At 35.1% G+C, this 18,940-nt stretch overlaps 1 long non-coding RNA gene across 1 annotated transcript in view; it reads right to left on the reverse strand.

The window, feature by feature from the left end:
• Positions 1–18,621, reverse strand: part of CASC6 (cancer susceptibility 6) — a 61,389-nt gene extending 42,768 nt beyond the window's left edge. Inside the window, exons 1-2 of the long non-coding RNA NR_104154.1 lie at positions 18,504–18,621; positions 13,241–13,385 (exon numbers count right to left, since the gene is read on the reverse strand). This is a non-coding gene — a long non-coding RNA (cancer susceptibility 6). The remainder of the gene's footprint in view (positions 1–13,240; positions 13,386–18,503) is intronic.
• Positions 18,622–18,940: the final 319 nt, after the last annotated feature.

The raw sequence follows: 18,940 nt of genomic DNA on the forward strand, positions 1-18,940 counted from the left end.
ACACTAGAGAGTGCTTCAGGATTATGCATGGGGACCATTTTAAATACTAAAATTATCAACAAAAGGTAAAAAAAAAAAAAGAAGCATAAGACATGGCACTAAATAGACTGAAAAAAGTATACTTGTTTCCAGTATGAAAACTGAAATAGGAAGGCAGAGAATCGTCTTGTTCAACTAGGAATGTGAGCATTGAGTGACTCAAATTTTTCACTGTTGTGTACATAAACACAAATTACCACAAAAGTAACATGAATATTAATTCTGAGGGTATGAGTGCATTTTAGAATTTGCAAATATAAAATCTGTAATGAGGACCAACTGTATCTTTAAGTTTCAGAAAACTATTAAATTATCATAAAAAAACCTATTTTGTTAATACAGTAATTTTATCCATCCATTTACATTTATTTTGATTTTCTTATAAATGCCCAAATTAAAAATGAAAGAAGATAAATAATTTTTGACAAATGAAGATTATTGATTCTAGTAAGAATCAAAGTTCTCTTGGATGTAGGTCTGCACCCTGAATTGGTTCCAACTTCTTTGTCAGTAACCACATTGTTTTTCCATTTTCATGGTAGTTAGAAATTCTTCTGGGGAATATAAACGGATTCCTATTTTTACAGCCTGCACCAAATGTCTGAATAACCTCAGTGGACACACTATTGGAATGTGTGGGTTTTGGGGGATTCAGGAGGTTGAATCTTCCTATATCCTTAAAATGAGCAACCTTACTGCATTTACATGTTTTAGGAACTTTTTATGATTTCAAAGAGAAATGTCCAATATTTTGTCAAGTGCTAGAAGAAATTAACATAAAAGAATTTAAAATGATAAAATATGGATAACTACAATGTTAAAGTTATTATTTGATAATTGGGTTTAAAATCTCTTAATTTCCGGGTAAAGACTATACAAAATATGATTATGTATCCTACATCTACAAAATGACCTATATATTCAAATATTTTTGATCTGCAATTTGCTGGAAAGCTTATTTAATTTGAAGTGCCAAAGTTGTATACAATTGAAATCAGGTTAGTTTTAGGAACTTTGCTTTAATTCAGTTCTACTGAAAATTTTTATGGGCTGTATGGTGCATGGATCATCTCTAAATGTGGGTCCATGGCTCCTGCTTTACAGACCACCATAAAGAAAGCGTCATTTTGGGGAAAATAATACTTATATTTTTACCGATTTTTCTCAATAATATTTGTTCCCTAAAAGATGTTCCTAATTCAAATCCAAGGAACTGATCAGAATTTTTTTTTTATTCCTACCTTGTTTTTTCTTTTCTCTGAACTTAACACTGATATTTTCCAAAGGCAAACTATAGGAACTTCCACACAGCATTCTTTTCTCTCTCATCTACCAATCTCCATACCAAAAAACAAAATGACAAAAAAAGACATTAGACTCTAAATTCTAACTTACAAATATTGGCAGTTTTCAGTATTTTTTTTTCTCTGTATCTCAAGCCTAATGAGGGTGAACAGTAGTGAGTTCATGAGCTTCTCCAAGTGAGCCTAGAGGGCCCAGCTTATCCCTGATGAGCTGTTCTCTGAAGCTCTGGTGTTTACCAAATGTGTCAGATGGATAATGTTCATTAATGAACCTGAATATCTTGAAGCAGAGCGATTCCTCCAAATATTATGATGCTTTAATGACACTTGTAATAAGACCACCAAGGACTACCAGCAGCTAACAAATACACATTTCCAAATGTAACATTAGTAAATGTTTGAATGCAGCAAAACCTTAAAACTGGTATATGAAAGTCTGCTTATTCTGCCTCCTGAGGGCCTCATAAATGAATAAGCGATGAGTGAGCCGGTGCCACAAGCAGAACTGGGGCTTCGGGGAAATGGGCAGCAATGGCATTTACAGCAATTTGCATTGAATATGTGGAAAAGGGAGAAAAACCAAACAGACATATAAGTGTAGAAGGGAGCAGAGACACTAAAAAGGGTTATGAAATATAGCAAACTAAATGACTTCCTGTATATTCGCACAAGAATCACTGTGAGAATGTGACTGAAGTGCCATTGTCTGGTCCAGCTTTCTGTTGACCTCCTTATACCAAAGCGTTGTCCTGGGACTGCCTGTCTGCTTGTGACATTGCTTTCTTCTTCCTACCCTACTCCAGGGTTCTGCTAAGCAACGAGTCTTAAGTCAGTCTCTTTCCAGCTTCATGGAGAGAAAACAAGTGCATTCAACTTTTCAGTGCATCTCTGTGGACTTCTATAGGCAGCTTTCACATCCTTGAGCTTGTGTTTTCATACATGAGTTGAATATGGTGGTTGCTTTTACTATTAAGTAGCCAACAGGATATTATTTGGAATCTATGTCTGTTCTTATTTTTTTTCTCCACAGCAATTCTTACTGAAAAAATACTGAAAACTAATAAATCTAATTTCTACTTCCCCACAGAAAGGTTAGTGAAATGTTTTCTGAAGGGTAAGAAAGGGCATGACTATTAATAAAGTGTCAGGTGGAGTTCACAGTCTTACACTATTTTATATATCCTCTTTGAAATAAAACCTATATTTACCTATAATTCATTCATTCAATAAATATGTATCAAGTGCCTATTTGACATAGAGTGATATGTGGATGATTAGTAAATTATTTATAGGAAATATTTATTACATGATACAAAAGGCCATAAAAGAACATGGGACATTCAAAAATTTATCTTCTTTTGGAAAATCAAATTGCTATCCACCAAACTTAGTGCAGCTTTTACATATTTGTGTGCAAATATTTTGTAAAATGTGACAAACCTTATGTTTATTAGGAATGTAATGTCTTTCTTACCTCCTTCTCTGTCTCTTTCTTTCTTCTTTCTTTGTAATCTTTAATAATATTTCTTACTTGCAGATAACAGAAAATATTTATAAAAATGTTTCTCCTTTCTCCTTATGTCATGTAGATTTGAGTTCTAATTTTTGTTCCTACATACGTGTAGGTAGTTACTGATTGAAATACAATCATTGTATTTATACTGTGTATATATTCTGTGAGTATAAATTGTATACTCACAGAATATAGTACACCCAGATTCTTCAAACTTTTCGACTCATTATTCTACTCCCACCAAACTTTATACGTATCCAGGACAGCCCCTCTGAGCCTTCTTCGTGCTATCACTAAAAGCTATAATTATACATGTAAAGTTTACAGAAACAAAGATTAATTAGTCAAATACTTTATTATACTGCTTCAGACACTTATAGTCTTAAGGGTGACTAAAAATAAGTAACACAGCTGCTTTTATTATGCCTTTAGTAAATAAAAATAAGTTTATATTTTCCTGTCATCATTTTGTCATAACTAATTAGATTCAGTAAACACTATCTTAGCAAAGAATACTAACTAAGGTTATGATTTGGGAGTAGATTTAAAGACAGAAACATTGCTTATGGGTTTATATCTTGTTTTTCCTTGTTATCTTTCTCTTTTTTCTTTGGAGGTAGAGTCTCACTCTATCCCCCAGGCTGGAGTGCAGTGGCGTGATCTCGGCTCACTGCATCCTCTGTCTCCCGGGTTCAAGCGATTCTCCTTCCTCAGCCTCCCTAGTAGCTGGGGTTACAGACGTGATCCACAACGCCCGGCTAATTTTTGTATTTTTAGTAGAGACAGGGGTTTCGTCATGTTGGCCAGGCTTGTCTTGAACTCCCGACCTCAAGTGATCAGCCTGCCTCGTCCTCCCAATGTGCTGGGATTACAGGTGAGAGCCACCGTGCCTGGCCATCTTCTTCTCTTAAGGCAATGCCATGCCTATTAGTAAGTTTCATTTTGTGAGTTCTTAGAGAAATGAGTTAAGACATGGTCTATTACATCTAACTTAAAATGTTTATCCTGCACTTACTGTTTTATTCACTACCTTCGTCAACAGAAATATGAAATGAGTCCTAAATTTCATTGTCATGGATTTTAAATTTCATTTCCAAATTCTGTTTTCAGTAATATGGCAAAAAAAAAATTGACCCTAATAAGCCTTCATTCCTCACAGCTATCTCCATTAGAGTATATTCTTTTCAACCCAAATATCCAAATGTGGGGTTGACTTTTTTCTTGCTCCCCACTGCCATATTTGTGGTAGCAGTCTCTCCTGGTGGATTCATTCTTTTATCACCATTAGGATTCTTCCATGTTTACATTTATGCCTCTCAGCATTCTGCCATTTCAAGTTTGTGGTGTTATCTCTTTCAGTGATTTCTGTCTCCACCTAGTTACTGACTGACAAAACCACATCTCATAATGACTATCAATAAAGATGACACATCTCATAATGACTATCAATAAAAATGACTTTCCAATATTTCTTCTTAAAATTACTTTTCTGTGGATGTGATGGTTAATTTTATTTGTCAACTCATACGAACTAAAGAATACCCAGATTGCTGGGAAAACATTATTTCTGGGTTCACTGTGAGGGTGTTCCCAGGAGAAATTAGTATTTGAATCGGTAAACTGAGTAAAGTATATGGTCCTCCCTGATGTGGATAGGCATAATCCACAGCTATCCACCAGCTTGAATAGCACAAAAGGAAAGGAAAGTTGAATTCACTCACTCTGCTAGAGCTGAGATGTCTATCTTCTCCTGCCTGCCCGCAGATATCAGTGTTCTGGGTTCTCAGGCTTTTGGATTCAGACTGGGATACATAACATCGGCCTCCCAATTCTCAGTCTCCTTCAGACTCAAACTGAGTTACACCATCAGCTGTCCTGGTTTTCCCTCTTTCAGACAGCAAATAGTGGGACTTCATAGCCTCCATAACCACATTGAACCAATTTCTGTAATAAATATCTTCTATATATATTAATATATGGAGAAGTCTGACTAATACAGGTTTTGGTAACAAGAGTGGGATGCTGTTAAAATAAATATCTAAAAATGTAGAAGTGACTTTGAAACTGGAGAATGAGTGGAGGGTGGAAGAGTTTAGAGGCACATGCTAAAAAAAGACTACATTGCTATGAATGAATTATTAAGGATGATTCTGGTGAGGGGCTACTTCTCAGTCATATTAATTATTTACTTGTGATCAATAGGGACCAAGTCCCTCACTGACAACACAACATTGTCATTCTGCCATTCATACCCAGACAACACAGTATTGAATATTCCCCACTGTTTACTTCCTTTTTCTCCCTAATACTCACTTCCCAAGGTGTGTAATTAAATTTTGTATTCTACTTTATTTGTCCTATTATACTCTCAGATTTCAACTCCTGGTCTACTCTTCATGGAATTTCTCTTGTCTTCTCACTTTTAAAGAACTCTTAGTTTCCTATTTCAAGGAGTCCTATTTAGAGGGTTAATTAGAGGTGATCCAGCAGAGTTTTCTAATTTTACAATATTTTAACCATAAATGGAAGCACTAACTGTCTCTTCACTAGAATTAATTTTCTTTTTTTTTTCAGGTCACAACTAGGATCTATTTCCTGCCTTTTCTTACGGTTAGTTGTATCCTTGCTATTGAGTTCTAACCAATGGAATGTGAGTGAAACTGATATGTGCTATTTCTGTTTCAAAGCTTTTAAGAAGCAGGCATGCAATATGCTCCATCCCCTTCCCCTTTTGTAAAATAGATCCAAATGATGAGGTCTTAAGGGATGGTGGATCCATAAGATGAAAAATATCTTCATCTTGCATTCAGAGATCTTTGAATCTCTAAATGCAGTATATTGACCTGCTTTGATTTCTTATGTAAATGAGAAATCATCTTCTATTATGCTTGTGTCATACTTTTCTGCCTATTCTCTGACTATTGGCAAGACCCTAAACAATACCTCATTTATTAACAAGACAATGAAAGGGGGAAAAATGATGCCTCAGATTTTTTTGAGGTTTTAATTTTGTACTTTAGTCATCTGTGACTTGTAAAATTTTCTTGTACTGGATTTTAAGTTTCTAGAGAATAAGAACATCCATTTTATCCTAAATAAATGACGATATGTGTATAGTAGTCAAGTAGAAGGAAATAATATTATGTCTATAAAACTTGTACGTAAGTTCCTTAATATAAATGTTAAACACTAGCATATAAAAACACTTGTTTTAAACATTCAATAATAAAGTGTGATAAATTATTTTAGTATAATGAAGTATTAACAAAAAGCATAAGACCAAGAAGTGTACACATAGAAAGTGCTGTATTGTGTCATTTATTATTTGCCACCCATTCTAATTATCATAGCTCTTATAGTTACCTACCATTCTTAAAAATCCTCAGAGAAAATGAATGTATAATCTGCTTTTGTTGAGTTCTTAATTATCCATAGCATCTATTCACTTCGAAATTATGAAAAACTCCAGCAGGCTGTTTCACTTCACAGAAATCCTGCAGCAAGGCACCTGGCTTTCTGGTTTATAAATAACCTTGCTCTGTACTTTATTTTTTTGGTAAATGAATTCACTTGAGCTATATATCATTAAGGATTTTGTTTATGAGAGGTTCAGAAAGAAATAGCCAACATAAAGTAGCAGTGGCAGATAATGAAGCAAGTCATGAAGCATATGACAACACAGGTTTGAGAATCAGCTTATGGATGATCTGCTGTCTGTGAACCCTCTCATCTAATATTTGTAAGCGCACAGCTGGCAAAGCTTCCAGTATTTTTCAGAGCCTTTATTGATTTATGTAGGAATAACAAATAGACCCACAGATATTCTACTAAAATGGTGTTGTTATCATAAGGGAATAAAAAGTATCTCTTGTTTTGTCTGATTTGGGGCACAATCCCCTTAGTGTGTGAAGCATTAAGTGCCTCTAAAACAAGCCTCTTATTGACCACACCAGAAACAGGAGGAAGGCTCCTGGTAACAAAATCATTCTGGAAAATTTGAGATTTAACAGCCCATTAACCTGCTATTAAAGACCACTGATGGGAGTTTCTTAGAGAAATGAACTTGCATTGTGTGGGAAGTTAGCAATGACACCACAAAGGGAACTTGGCAATGGGAGGGGGAGGGAAAGGAAGATTCTTATCAAAACCCATGCTATTAAAGAAATGAAATTGGAGCTGCACAGAGCTGAAGACACAGATTATGGGTAATGGTGCAGAACCAGGTTACATCAGCATTGAGTTTCACGCAGTTCCCATTCTATTTTACCTGCATTGGCAGAAAGTTGAGCCAGTGTCAACTTCCACTTAGAATGCAGTTGATCACAGTGCTATGGAAAGCCAAATTGACAGTTAAGAGGAAGCAAGAGGTTTAGGGTCATGTCTCAGCTGGGTTTTAATTCATTCTCGTTAGGCACACTAATACAGCAGAGCATACAGGGGGTGGTGGATCTTTTTTTTCTTCTCCTTCTTCTTCATTTTTCTTTCTTTCTTTGTTTTGTAGACCATGAATCATGAATATTAATGCAATTCCATTAAGGTTGCCACGGAGTGTCCAGGATGCTGGTGGAGGGGGCGGTAGGCTGCCACTTTATCATGTTATTGGATTTGTTTAAAGAAAGGTTCCTGACACGATTTTCCAAATGCAGCCTGGTGAGCAGTCCCTGCCATCAGGTGATGTATCTGACTTAATGGTATTCTTTCAGAGCTGGAGCAATAAACATTAAGGGACCTTAATTGTATTCTTTGCAGTGGGAGCAATAAACATTAGGGGCCCTATTGTACCCTGTTCCAAAATGTCCCCCAAGCCCAATTTGGGAAGTGTCTTGAGATATAGCTCTAATTTCAAATCCTCTCTCCCATTCCATGTATTTTGAAATTGGGAGACTGAACAAAAACAATGAAACGAAATTAATAGGCATACTGCCACATAGCAGCCCCTCATATTATTTACCTGACGCATCAGGGCCCTAATAGTGGGGGGGAAAAAAGATGCTGAGTGATCTGACTTATTTTTCTATGGTGACAACTTTTGATAAACTGCAGCTACTAGCCACAGAGTCACAGGGGTAAAATTGTTCACCTGGTACATAGAGAAGATCCATGGCACAAAGGATTAAGTTGCCTTGAAGACTGAGAAGACTGTGGGATTTTAAGTTGAATCAAACATGAGGTGATAATTCATGATCATCTCTGACTCTATTTCATCTACATATTTCTGTTTTTGCTTTTTTTTTTTTGGTGAAACTGTATGCTAAAATAACAAATTTCCCATGAAATTACAGGAGTCCCATTTTACCATTTGTAACATCAGATGTTCAACATGCTATCAAGGAAGAAAGACAGTTTTAAAATTATTTTCTTAAGATCTCCACTGGTCACATTCATTTCAGCGAGTCGTTAGACTGTATTGATTTTGCCTGAATTAATGGTACACTTGTTTTACTCATTTTGTTATTCTAATTTTGCTCTCCTCTCTTTTTCACAATTCTGTGAGTCTCAGGTATTGGCCTGTGAACTGGTGTTATGATAGTATATCATTTAAAATGATAACCCCATCATTTCTTCCATAGCATATTTTGTCATAATTCCCAATACATGAGATATTTAGCTAAGGTAAAGTGCACATGGAAAATTTAGAGAGGAATTGTCATCAGGGTGAAATGCTGTGTACTACGCAGAAGGCTTCTGGTTTGGGGTTCTGAACAATCAAAATTAAATAGACATAAATGCAATTAATGATATTACGTGAAAAGTTTGATACTATGTCCGTTTAACTTCTAGCCTTTATTCTAGCTTGGGAAGTTTTGTTTCCTTTTATTTTAACATAATTTTAACTTCCTACCACAATAGGGAATGAGCCTGTGAGTAGATTTAGCAAAGAAAGTAGAAATAAATTCCTGTTGATTATTTTATTTAACACTGTGGTTTCTCTCACAAAGACATTTAATTTCAAAGTGTTTTGACTTGGCCACAGCCATAATTGTGCATAATATCCATTATCTTTTAATTGGAATTATCTTTTATCTTTGGCTACATTTATCTGAGGATCCCTTCAGAAAGCCCACCAGAAGCTCAAATTCCAATTTGTTCTCTCAGCTTGACTAATGATGAAAAGTATCAAAAATGACTATTATGTGTTTATAAATCACCTCTTTTATTCTGATGCAGTTCTGGGATTTTATGCTGTTAAGTACCATTTCTCTGTGGAATGTAAATGCAAAAGCAACAACAACAAATTCAGCATAAACAATGGCGCAAAATGAGAAAGAACAAAAAGTCTTTAAAGGAAGCATCACAAAAGCAAAGTTTGAACAGAGAACAGCAGAAAATATCGATGAGAAAATATATTTCCCACAGATTAAAAAAAAGTATGAGTCAGAAATAGTCCCCATTTGCTTAGCATCTAACAGTTCTATTTGGAAAAGCATAGAATCTGTGGCACAAAAGCAAATATATCTTAATTGGGCTCACTTGCATCCACCTGCTACAGTTCCTTTTTAGTCACACTGAATTTGTCTAACAACACTTGTTTACATTCCCTTGCTAGCACATTAGCATTTATTTCATTTCATAAAATAAGAAATATGGCCAGTTTAAAATGTTGAAGATACAGTGGCCAAGAAACTTAAGGTCAGCTTGTGGAACACAGCAATCAACTTGGACTTCTCATTGTGAAATATTACTCTTAGATCATCACATGCTACCAAACGTCCTCGATTAATTGAAACATTCATCCAACAATTATTTATTGAACAGCTGCTGTGTGCCAGACAATCTGCTAGGAACTCAGATGAAAAGTGCACCAGGCATTGTGGCAGCTCCCTTTACCGCAGCTTTTGTCTGTTTCAGTTCCTCAACACTACCTCCCACCGCCCCATCCAGGTCTGCGCAAAACAGTTGCAAGTCCTCTTGACTGAGCTCTGAATCTACACAAGCAAAGATGATATGCCACCCCCACATGCCATCAATATTACGTCCCCCACAGCCTCTAAGGCATGAACTTAGTGGCTCATTGATGTTCGTGGAGCTTCTGCATTGTTTCCTCTATCCCTTTTATTATCAAATGGACCCAATATCTACTGCTGCCAGTAAAGTATACAGGCACTTGCGAAACTGCTGTGACTTTTAGGGCAGTAACTGGGCTGAGCCTCTGGATCTCATAGAGAGCACTTCGATGGGACTATGAGGCTTGACATAGTTTTGCCTTATTGTGAGAATAGACATAACTTCCTCTGTTGCCAAGAGATGGACTCAGGTCCAGGATTGCTGTCTTTCTTTCAGTCTCTTCACTTCCTGACAGCCAGACACCTTCTGATGTATTCAGACATGATCAAAGAAGGCCCCATTACCCCTTCCAGCCACATTTTTGAATACTGTGTCTATCATCCCCAGCACAGTATGGTACTACAAAGTCCATTTCCTAATCATAGCCCAGGTAAATGATATCTCCTCACTCATCTTGTGTATTGATCTTTATCCCTCATTCTTCAAAATGTGAGTGAACATCCCAGCATAACTGAACTTTCTCATAATATACCTATGATTTTCTGCTCATCCGTCCTATCACATTTCAAAGGAAGACATTTAACAACTTGCGTTGTCCCCAAATCAGAATTCATCCTTCTGTATTACCAAATTGACTGAGTATCTAAGCCTCACTTCCAACCCAGAGGTTTTACCTGTTTATCTAATCCCAGTGACCCCTGTATAGACTGCAAGACTGCCCGGAGCTCTGGTTGGATAATTGAGGACTTGCTTCTTGTGATCTGAGGTCTCAGATGGTAAGCATCTGCCTGCTTCCCCATGCAACTAAGTGTCACCTGCATATGAGAATATCTTAATATCTTCCTATATCTTGATACCTCATTATCTCACCTTGGCAGCCATGGTGCTTTACATGATCTCAAGTTTGGCAGACTAATGTCCTCTCTTGACACCGTGATTTTCTGCTCAGCTCTATCTCCCCATACTGATTCACTAACTGATCAGTCCACTTAGTCTTTTTTTGACCTAACATATAGGTCTTGTTTTCTTCCCAACTACTTCCTTTTTTCTACATGGTCTGCAGCAGATTACTTCACTATGTTTAAGTCCTAAGACATAAATTTTTGAGCAGCAAAATGTTTTTTGCCTCCTTCACTTAGTTAGATCAGTTAAGGTACTTTTATAGCCAGACAACAAACCTTGACTCAGATGTCTTAAATAAGAAAAAATTATTATTTCACATTAATGATTCTGGAGGTAGGGTAATTCCAAGTTTGGTTATTTCAACAGTTCAGGGATGTCAAGAAACTACATCCTTTCCATCTTCCTGTTCTGCTCTCTAAGCATGTGGACTTGCCCTCAGGGGTGTGTTCCTTATGGTTAGGAGTTGTCTGTCTCAGTTTCAGGTACCAAAATGACATCCAAGACAGAAAAATAAGAATGTTACTTTCACTGCATATATTTCCTCCATGAGGAAAACCTTTCCCAGCAGTCCCTCAGAAGATATCTGTTACAGAATCATTGATTATATTTTCTCCTTATGCCCTTGCCAAAATCAATTATTGGTAAAGGGAATGGGATTATAGTAATTGGCTTTAATTAATCATAATCCAGTCAGTAGGTCTAGGTAGGGAACTAGCTCTCCATAAAGCACATGGAGGTCCAATGCAGAACTAAACTTCTCTTATCAAGAAACAAGGAAAGTCATGCCTGTTGGTTAGTCAGCCAAGCACACCTGCCACATTAATTATCCACATACATGCTGTGGAGCAGAAACGAAAGGTCTGCCTGCCCACTTTTCAATGGCACGGGACTCTCAGTCCCTCCGGGGTTTGTTCACACAGTTGTTGGTTACACCCCATGCCACATGAAGAGTCCTTCCTTTTCAACCCTCTCTCAAAGCCTGAGGAGTAAGGCACATGCTGTAATTCTTGATAGAAGCAGCGAGGGTTACCTGTTTTCTTATCATTTTATTGTTAAATGCAGCAAAAGAAATTTTCCATTTATTTTATTTTATTTTATTTTAAGACAAACTCTTACTGTGTTTCCCAGGCTGGAGAGCAGTGGTGTGATCTCAGCTTACTGCAACCTTTTCCTCCCAGGTTCAAGTGATTCTCCTGCGTGCCCAGGCCTCCAGAGTAGCTGGGATTACAGGGGCTGAGTCACCACGCCAGGCTAATTTTTGTATTTTTAGCAGAGACATGGTTTCACCATGTTGGCTAGGCTGGTCTTGAACTCTTGACCTCAATTGATCTGCCCACTTTGGCCTCCCAAAGCTTCTGTTTCTTAAAGTATTTTATTTCCATAACAGTAATAAAGGAAGGTGGTTACTTAAAATTTGGCTGGAGAGATATGTTACTTGAGCAGGTCAATGAATAGGCTGGAAAGAGGAGTAGAGAAGGAGAAGGGTGAGACAAAAATTAATAAATAACTCAATATTTCAATTTGATATAAGGTTCTTAATACCACGCCTGAGACATAGTACATGCTCAATAAATGCTTGGAGCAGAAAGGAAGAAAGGGGGAGTGTTTCACCAGAATTCCACAATAAGTTTTCAAATATAATCAATTTCATTAGGTAATCCAGATTTGATTGGGTTGTAAGGATTAAAGTGATCCAAAAGTACAACTAGTCTTATAAATAAAGTTTGTTGATTTCCAATAGGGGCACACTCCTTCTGAGTGATGTAGACAACTGTCTTAAATTCATAGCCATTGTTTTTCCTTTGGAAAAGAACCTAGAAATAGGGGTATTTTGAAGTAAGTATGAAATCAAATCATTCTAGAAGATTATTTGCTTCTTTACACTATAGGAAATATTGATTAACCGTCCTATCAACATCTCAGAAGAAGGCAAAAGTAAGTGGATATATCTCAGCACGGAGAACAATGCCAACAGCAGAGTAAGGAGGAAAGTTAGAGACAGTGGAACTGGGATACTTAACAACATGGCTGTAGATTCAAGGCCAACACCTCACAGAATGTTATGCAGTTCCTTCATTATTTTTGCTTTGAAATAAGAATGGCATTATTTGTTTATTTAGCAATGTTTTTGAAATTAACATTCACTTACCTGTATATGTATACTTATATGTGTGTGTGTATATCTATGTATATATAATACTTGTTTCTAAACATGTTTTATAAACATCTTCAAACAAAAGCAAAGCTGACAAAATGTTATGACAAATACCTGTACATTCTCCATCTAGGTTCATCAGTAGTTAACATTTTGGAAAATATAAATGCATACTCATACACACACACACACACACACACACACATGCACACATACTCTACATAAGTATGTTAAGACTTATAATACTCCTTGTCTTAGTCTGTTTCTGTTGCTACAGCAAAATGCTTTCGACTGGGTAATGTATAAATAACACTAACTTACTTCTCACAATTTTGGAGGCTGGAAGTCCAAAATCCAAGTGCCACCAAGCTCAGTGTCTGGGGAGGGCCTGGTCTCTGCTTGCAAGGTGAGGACTTCGTGTGTTCTCCGGAGAAGATGAACGCTTTCATCTCGCCCAGCAGAAGAGCTAGAAGAACAAATAGGGCATAGCTACTTCCCTCAAGCCCTTTTTTATAAGGGTACTAATTCATTCATGAGGAGTAAAACCCTCCTGATTTAATCATTCTAAAGGCCCCATCTTTTAATACTGTAACTTGAGTCTCAAAATATGAATTTTGAGGGACACATACATTCTAGCCATGGCACTTTCGAATACTCCAGCATGCATCTCCAAAAAATACATTTTTCTAGAAAACCAAAATGCCATTATCAAATTTAGAAAAACTAACAGTGACTCCTTAATGTCCTCTATTATCCAAACCCATTTAGCCTACATATGTCACCCTAAACTTGGATAAGTTCACACACTGCATTAGATTGTCTTGTTCCTTAAATGTCTTTAAATTTCTCCTGCACAACCATCTTTTTATTTTTCTCATAATATTGTCCTTTGGACAGCCTAAAACTTTTTGTTTTGTGTAATGTACTATGTTTGGGTTTTATCTGATTACTTTCTCATCGTGCTGTTTAATTTGTTTCTTTATCCCCTATATATCTTGTTAACCAGAAGTTAAGTCTGAGTGCTTAATTAGATTCAAATTAAACATCATTGTGTATACATTATATTGCATTGCTTTATGAGCTGCATAATTTCAAGTTGTCCCACTATTAGTTATGCTAACTTTGAACTTTTGGCTAAGGTCTGATTTTCAAATTTTCCTATTGCAAAAAAAATTTTAAAAATTATTTTATACAGAATATATATTGAATAATTTTGAACAGTTATTTTTTGTTAGGCTTACTTTTTCAAAAAATTAACCCCTTTCAATTTATAATTCATTATCATGAAGATTTTTTATATTTATAGCAAGAGTACATGGTGTTCACCATGAATATGGCTATTTTTAAAATGGTTTTAAATGTGGCTTGTATTTTTATTCTCTAAAATATTTAGTGTGGTAATTTTATCTTTTGAAATAGGTCTCTTGCATTACGGAGATTGATTTTCTTGTTTGGGAGAAGACATTAGTAGTTTTAGCAGTTTCTCATTGACTCGTGGCTATTATTCTGCTAAAAAAGTGAACTGGCGAAGTGAGTGGTTGGTGTACTACCCGGTTCTTTCAGCAGGATCCTCATTTCAGCAGGAGGGCTGCATTGAGCAGTTACCACACCAATTGCTCAACCTGCCAAAATATAAATTATAAGGGGAAAAAGTAGAAAAGTGAGTCAGAATTTTAGTTGTGAAAATATATGTAATTTGAATTCTGAGGGAAAATAATTTGAATCAAGAGAAAAATATAAATCTAAATTTCTGTATAAGGAGGTTAAAACCAAGACAATTGTGGGGTTCTTCCTGTGAGATTTCTCCATAATATGAACAATGTATACACTTCCATAGGAAAATGCTAACCAAATAAATAAATGCTCAAACATTTTTACTTATATAGATATTCACAATTTAGTTTAAATAATAGGATTGTACCTTTTATTATTATTATCTTACCATTTGGCAGTGTTTAGTTTTCTTCTTTGGAAAATGTATTACAAGTAATATAATTACAAAGTTTATTCAAAAACGCAAAATTATGATGCTGATATCAAATATTCTTGATGTGCCTGGTAGACTTGATTTGAGGATGAAAATATCTTACTCAAAGATACCTGCTTCTTTTAACTTCCTGGCCTCATGATTCAGCCTTTATACTAAGTTTTTATCAGCTGTGTTTGTCATCTCTAAGGGTGAACACTGTGTAAAATATAAAGTAAGAAAGTATGGGTGGGAATTCCTCTTCACACCTTTGTCTCTACATAGCTTTTTAACTTTTACTATTTTAAAGTGGTTGTTAAATTTGCTGAAGTCAAATTCTTCCTCTAGAAGTGGTTTATGTTTTGAGAAACAGTTCTAAAAGATCATATCAAGCTATATTATGCTAAGAACACAGATATGCTTCCAAGAGAAAACCACAAATTACTGGTCATTCATATTCAGAAGATAGTGTTAAACATATTTACTATAGAGAAAGTATGTAAATAAAAGTAAGTTTATTTACATAAACTTACATAACTTTATTTTATTTATTTAAATAAACTTACATAAAAGTAAGTTTATTTGCATAAACATTATTATGAAGTTCTTAATGTAATTTATATTGTCAGATATGTGCAAAACATTATCACAAATGGATTTCAACTTCAGCAGCATAGTAGCTTAACACATCTATATGTATAAATCATGTACACCTATATGTATAAATATATAAATAACATGTATTTATACATCAATATGTATGAAACACAACTATATTTATAAATCACATCTATAAGTACTGTTAGAAACAATCCCACTCATTTTGGTCTTAAGTTTTTAACAAATCCAATACCCTCCATCTGTGTACAATAATGAGGAAGACTGGCAGAGGCCTGGATTATATTGCTATATTTGGTCCAACGTCATGATTAGATTAATGGTGTAAATTTCTTTATTGTTATAGTTCTAGTAACAGACTTCCCTCTACTTCCGATGCCAGTACTGACTGACTTACTGTATAAGTAAAGCAGTACACTTTATTATTTTCTTTGTAATGGGATTTGCAATAATACCAATTTGTATCACCTGAGTATTGTTGAGATTCATAAAATAACTATTGAAAAACGTTTTAATATACTTCATTGAAAAGAATGATAATAATTAGAATAACTGCTATGTGAATTCACATGTAATCTTTTTATATATTTTAGAAAATAAAATACGTTTATAAAAATTTTTAAATAATGTTACAAATGTTAAAAAAGATTATTTTACAAACACTAAAGTTATAAGCAATTGCAGCATTATTTTTTGGGGAGGTCACAATAATAAAGGGTAAAAAAACATGATGTGAAGCTTTAAAATTGAGATATTTCTATGTCTTAGTCTGCAAGACAGGATAGTTAGAAAAGTAGATGATGTCCTGGCAATCAAGTAAAAGCATTGTGGCATGTTTTAAGCTATAACACCATCCACCAACTTGTGCTAATTAGGGAGACTGATGGCAAATAGGCAAACTGATGTAATTATATGTTATGTGACAAGTCCAGAGAAATAGATTGGATTCAGGCAGTGTTCTGTGTGAAACCTTACTTCTTAGATCTGCTAGTATGAGTTTCAGAATTTTGACTGCAAATGCAATTTTGGTCCTCTTGGTTCACATTCATACACTTAATAGTCCCTGAAGCTTTCCTCCTTCCCTCTCTTCATACCTCCTTCCTTCCTTCCTCTCTGCCTTCCTTCCTTCCTTCCTTCCTTCCTTCCCTCCCTCCCTCCCTTCCTTCCCTCCCTCCCTCCCTCCTTCCCTCCCTCTCTTCCTTCCTTTCTTGCTTTCTTCCTTCCATCCATCATTCCTTTGCTTTCTAACTTCTTCCCTTCGCCCTCCTTGCTTTCTACTTATGACTTTATGAATGCAAAAGTATTTGTAGAAGAACTAAACATTTATTACAGGATAAATAATATGCAGCTAACTAAAATGAACCCAAACATATAATGACACATTTAAAATAATATGCAGGCCTAATGGCAAGTTATATTTAATAGAACCAACCATTATATAACATGTAAATATTATCTATATAAGATCCATCAATATCTTGGGATGAGTATTTCAGCCTATTTTAATATATATTTTTCTTTGTAAAAAAGAAAAAAATAAGTGTTTGAAATTAAAAAGCCGTCTATTAGTGTAACTGAGGACATAAATGTTGATCTACAATGAAGAAAGCCTTTTATCAATAGTTAAAAAAATATATTCAGTCTTGGAAAATTGCAGAGATTCATTTGGGAGTGGAAAGGTCAGAAGCCTATTTCTGTACACCTTGCCTAACATGGTCCCTAACAATATTTTTATGTAGGCAAATTAAGAATCAAACTGTATGTGAATATTTCAGGTTACATAGATTAGGTACCACTAAATTATATAAATCATAATTCTACTTAACATGAAAAAAATGTTTCTCTATCATTTTTCCTCTGCTCATTCTGCCACACCCATCTCGCTAATTAAGTTCCTTAACCTTGAAGATAATGATATTGCAGATTTTTTTAGGAAGAAATAAATTTGAGGATAAATTTACATCATATTAAATGAAAACTGTACTTCTGAGAATAACCTTGAAAAGGACCATAATATTTGCTACTGCAGATGAATAAGGTTATTTGAAGAAAGAGATGAGTGTAGTGGCAGGAAATAAAGTAAAAATATGATATTTGTCACTGTCCTTGGATTTTTGTCTAAGCCCCTAATTACAGATATAAAACCTGATAAAGATCATGTTTTAATGTTTTAAGGTTTTCCTGTGAGAAACAATATACAACTTTATTCTTACATACTAGAATATATCTATAATTTTGTAGAATACTGCCCTTATCTGAAGATTAAATAAGCTTTTTTGAAAACAAAACAAAGCAAACCTTATAACTTATAGAAAAGTGTGCTTTATTTCTCACATAGATAAATATTCCAACTCAAATATAGCAGTCTGCATTAAGGAGAAATTTTAAAATCTACACAAATTGTAGGACTCTGGGTTATTATTATATTAAATCAACAAAAATCATGCTGTATTTGGCTATTCTTATTACTAGATGTTCATTACTAGACATGCATGTTTTAACTTAAAATGACTTGATGTTGAGGTATAATGAGTGAATGAAATGTCACAAATACAAAATAAGTATTTCAGTATAAAAAGTTATACATTTGAAATGCATCTGTTCCCTTTAACATCTATCATTGTTTCTCCAATGTTTAATAAAATAATAATCTTTAGGTCTCTGTCTCACATTTACACAGGACTTTACAATGATCTTTATCTTCTCAGTAGTAACAGATCAACTATCAGCCCCTAATATTTACACCCCTCTGGAGACCCACCAGCAATGACAGAAGGCAGACTAATGCTATGCAGCCAGGAGCACAACATAAGCAAACAAAATAATTAGATCTGTGAAATATAAAGTTGATCCTAGGAAACGATTTTAAAAATGCCCCTTCTAGCTTGGAGAAAGGGCAACTGTGTCACTGCCTGTTATCTTCCCAGCCTGCCCACATTTCCATCTTCCACCTTTCACCAAAATCCACATTCTGGTGTTTTTGGAGATCCTGAGACTTACCAAGGCTTGATGATTTCTGCAATTAAGGATTTCTTCAAATCAGTTGCAGTCTTATCTGATTACGTGTCTTGGAGGATTATGAAGGCTTAATAATTTGGACTGGATTAACCGAGAACACTCAGCAGACACCACGGAACTTTTTCATGCCTCTTCAGATGGCAGCTTACCAGAAGTATGATGAGTGATTTCATGGCAGCTAATCAATAAAAATTCTCCCCCAAAACGTTGAGCACTTGTTTTCAAAATGGCTTTGAAGACAGTTTTAAAAATCATAGAGTACATGGACAATTCTTTAGAAACAAAAAAACCAGAAGTGTAAATATCCTATGTCTAAATAGTGACAATTTATAAATCAGAGTATTTTATCTTTCTACTTTGACAAATATATCTTCATAATGACAATATCAGAAAAATTTGATTTAGCTGTAGTATTTACA

The sequence above is a fragment of the Homo sapiens genome, chromosome 6 (genome assembly GCF_000001405.40).
Source record: "Homo sapiens chromosome 6, GRCh38.p14 Primary Assembly".
In the NCBI taxonomy this organism is placed as follows: domain Eukaryota; kingdom Metazoa; phylum Chordata; class Mammalia; order Primates; family Hominidae; genus Homo; species Homo sapiens.